Source organism: Homo sapiens, chromosome 18 (genome assembly GCF_000001405.40).
Source record: "Homo sapiens chromosome 18, GRCh38.p14 Primary Assembly".
NCBI classification, from domain to species: domain Eukaryota; kingdom Metazoa; phylum Chordata; class Mammalia; order Primates; family Hominidae; genus Homo; species Homo sapiens.
Window position 1 is genome coordinate 48,993,989 of NC_000018.10, and position 3,226 is coordinate 48,997,214.

Sequence of the window (3,226 nt, forward strand, 5' to 3'; positions counted from 1 at the left end):
CACATTGCTTCCAGGCACGGAAGAAGGAGAAGCGTGTCTGTTTCATACCAGAAACCCTCCGGTTCTGGTTTCTCCAAGCTCGGCCTTTACCTTCTCCTTGACTTGGAAGGGTCGCCTGTGGCCCCGCTCCCCCATCTCTTCTGGAGCTGCCTTCTGTAAAGTGATCTTTCTATATTTACTTAAACTTCTATTTAAAGAGGAATTCCTCATAATTACTCAGCCGCAGAGAGCTGACACTGTTTGGCTCTGTTTATTTAGTTTCTCCTAGTGATTGGCAAAATGTCCTCAGTGGCTTTCAAGAGCAGATATAGACGAATGACCTCTTGGTCATAAAATAAAGTATGATGCTCTTTTCTGTCCTCATGGGAGACGGCATGTGGGGGGGATGTGCCTCACCATCCCACCCCATAAAAACGCTAAATCCAGTCATTTCTGAGGTTGGATTTGTGAAGCAGTTTCATAATTGGTGAAGGGTGCCGTCTCATCCGGGTGTGAGTACATGTGTGGATACAGCACGTGTCCAGCACACGCAGCCTTTCATGTGCACACACAGACGTTCACACCCACACACGGCCTCACAAATGGCAAAGAGCAGACCCGCCAACAAAAGGAGGAAGCAAGAATTAATACATCTGTTTTTTTCTTCAAAAAATTTTAATTGATACTTGGCATTTAGTCCAGTAGGGAAACTAAAATAGCTAGTTATTTGTGTAGAAATAGTTCCCAGGGTGCTTCCCTCCCTTCCTCCCCGCAACCCCTTTACTCCTCCCCCACCCCTGCCCCCGACACAACGACCCTACAGAACATCCAGGGACAACCCTGCTCTGACAAACCCAAAGGGAAAAATGCTGAACATCATTTGTTAAAATGTGGCCAGTAGCAAGACGCAGAGATGGCGGGCAATTTAAAATGTGGCCAGTAGCAGGACGCAGAGATGGTGGGCGATTTGGGGGTTTTGAGGGGAGGGCCTTTGTGCCCTCCAGTTTCGTGCCATTGAGTTTGAAGGCGTGCGGAAAGCAGAGACAACTGTCACGCCTCCCAAACAGTGACCCAACCCACCTAACCCACACCAGTCCCCTGCTTCCCAGGACCCCTTCTCTGTACCGTCCTGCCATAAGCCCTGCAAGACCTGCCTTCCCAGGAGAACTCCCATCTCCACATCCTGCTCCCCAGGTCCCAGCGCCTCTCCCACCCATCAGCCCTTGAGTGGATGCCTCGGCACGGGGGTCACACTCAGAGCTCCCCACTGCCTTCCCACTCAATGCTTTTCAGTTGGCTTTGTGGAGTGTTTGCCCTCTGCAGTCAGACTCTGTCTTTTGAGGGGTACAGGGCCTGTAACTTGAGCCCCAGCAGTGTCCTCACACCTCCAGTACACAGAGGAGGGACCCACATGGAGCAGGTGGTGGTGATAGCCTGTGCCTGTGGCTGGATTCTATGGTCTGCCCTAACAAGGCACAGCTCAGGAACCCAAGAGCTGTCTGTGATATTGACCAAGGGCCCTTCTTGGAAACCTCCTTGTGGCCAGGCCCAGAAATAGGATGGCAGGAGAAGCCGCCAGACCTCCTAGGCATGGGCTCCCTTTCAGAATCCTCCAAGCTGGTGAGGACGGCGGGAAGGCAGAGTACAGGGCAGACAGTGATGCCCGCCTGGAGCCAGGCCGGGGATCAGCCTAGGCGCAAGCCACGCATCCACATGGGTTCCTCTGCATTGAGAACTGCCGACAGGACGTCCTCGGAGTCCCAAGCAATTGTCTGGTTTGTGATGGACCCATCTTTCATTTCTTGATTATTCAGTAGCTTCGTGTCCTAGAAACCAAGAGGACCATTTCTATAAAAGAGGTTGGTTGAATAAAGACAGCGTGAGAATAGAGGAGCTCCTATTCCCGAAGTCAGCTGCCTGTTCTGCTTTCAGGCCCAGCAAACACCCCAGCCAGAGGAACTGGGGCCCTTTGCCCCTTCATGGTGTTCGCAGCCCCTCATCACCCGCTCCCCTGGAAGGCCTGCTGAAATGCAGATGTCCATAAGGTCTCCCACACACCCAGTTTCAGCAGCTCTAGCTTGGGTCTAGGATAGTCACTCAACAAACACGTATTGAGCAGCCACCATCTTCCAGGAGCCCTGCTGAAGTGGCAGCGGATAAGGCAGGTGGCTCCCTGCTTTCATAGAGCTTCTGTCTAGAGAAAGGTGCCCAAGCTGTAGGTGCCTCAGAATCGCCTGAGGTGCTTGTTAACACAGAAGGCTGGTCACAGCCCCGGAGTTCCCAACCAGCAGGTGTCTGGGGTGGGACCTGAGAATTTGCTTGTTTCAGAAGTTTCCAGACAAGGCTGAGGCTGCTGGTCTAGGAGCCACATTTTGAAAACCACTGGCCCAGCCAATCCCCACAGGAACAGGACCTAGGGCAGTGATATTTCAGGAGAAAAGACTGGTGATTCAGAAAAACACAAGGGTGGCCAGGCACGGTGGCTCACACCTGTAATCCCAGTACTTTGGGAGGCCGAGGCGGGTGGATCACCTGAGGTCAGGAGTTTGAGACCAGCCTGGCCAACATGGTGAAACCCCGTCTCTACTAAAAGTACAAAAATTAGCCGGGCGCGGTGGCAGGCGCCTGTAATCCCAGCTACTCAGGAGGCTAAGGCAAGAGAATCACTTGAACCCAGAAGGCGGAGGTTGCAGTGAGCTGAGATCACACCACTGCACTCCAGCCTGGGTGACAGAGTGAGACCCTGACTCAGAAAAAAAAAAAAACCAACAACAAAAACCCAAAAAACCCCCAAGCATGCATGAGAGGTCAGCAGCCCATGGTCCGCAGACCCCGAGCACATCAGAGCCTCAAGGCTCCACCTGAAAAGCTGCTACAATGGAATGACCTCTGCAATTCTTTCCAGGTCTCACTTCTGGAGGACGGGTGAATTGGGAGCAAAGGCAGGGAGGCTGGCAGAGGTTTCTGGAAGTCAGTGGGGCAGGGCCAGCGCTAGAGAAGAGGAGGCTTTGAGGCTTGTCTTGGCTTAGGCCTTCTCCTCCTCCTGGGCACCACCCTGAACTGACCCTACCCCCCCAGACACTGCTGCGGCCTGGCTGCCCTGGGGAGGGCAGGCCAGGGCCAGCAAGACCTGGGAGCCTCTGCGGCCCACGACACCTACAGTTTTAGAATCTGGAGAGCAGATGCCTCTGGCTTGCTAAGCAACTCATGAAACAAACAGCTTGCTTCAGGGCTTTCTTTTTTGAAG

The 3,226-nt window shown here is 53.3% G+C and overlaps 3 annotated features.

Annotated features, from left to right (window-relative positions):
- Positions 633-1,402: an enhancer, noted in NCBI's record as "H3K4me1 hESC enhancer chr18:46520991-46521760 (GRCh37/hg19 assembly coordinates)". NCBI's record gives its function as "activates a minimal SCP1, AML or CMV promoter by ChIP-STARR-seq in primed H9 embryonic stem cells {active_cell/tissue: H9 hESC(primed)}" and the evidence as "EXISTENCE:reporter gene assay evidence [ECO:0000049][PMID:30033119]".
- Positions 1,403-2,170: an enhancer, noted in NCBI's record as "H3K4me1 hESC enhancer chr18:46521761-46522528 (GRCh37/hg19 assembly coordinates)". NCBI's record gives its function as "activates a minimal SCP1, AML or CMV promoter by ChIP-STARR-seq in primed H9 embryonic stem cells {active_cell/tissue: H9 hESC(primed)}" and the evidence as "EXISTENCE:reporter gene assay evidence [ECO:0000049][PMID:30033119]".
- Positions 2,528-3,226: an enhancer, noted in NCBI's record as "H3K27ac-H3K4me1 hESC enhancer chr18:46522886-46523584 (GRCh37/hg19 assembly coordinates)". NCBI's record gives its function as "activates a minimal SCP1, AML or CMV promoter by ChIP-STARR-seq in naive H9 embryonic stem cells {active_cell/tissue: H9 hESC(naive)}" and the evidence as "EXISTENCE:reporter gene assay evidence [ECO:0000049][PMID:30033119]".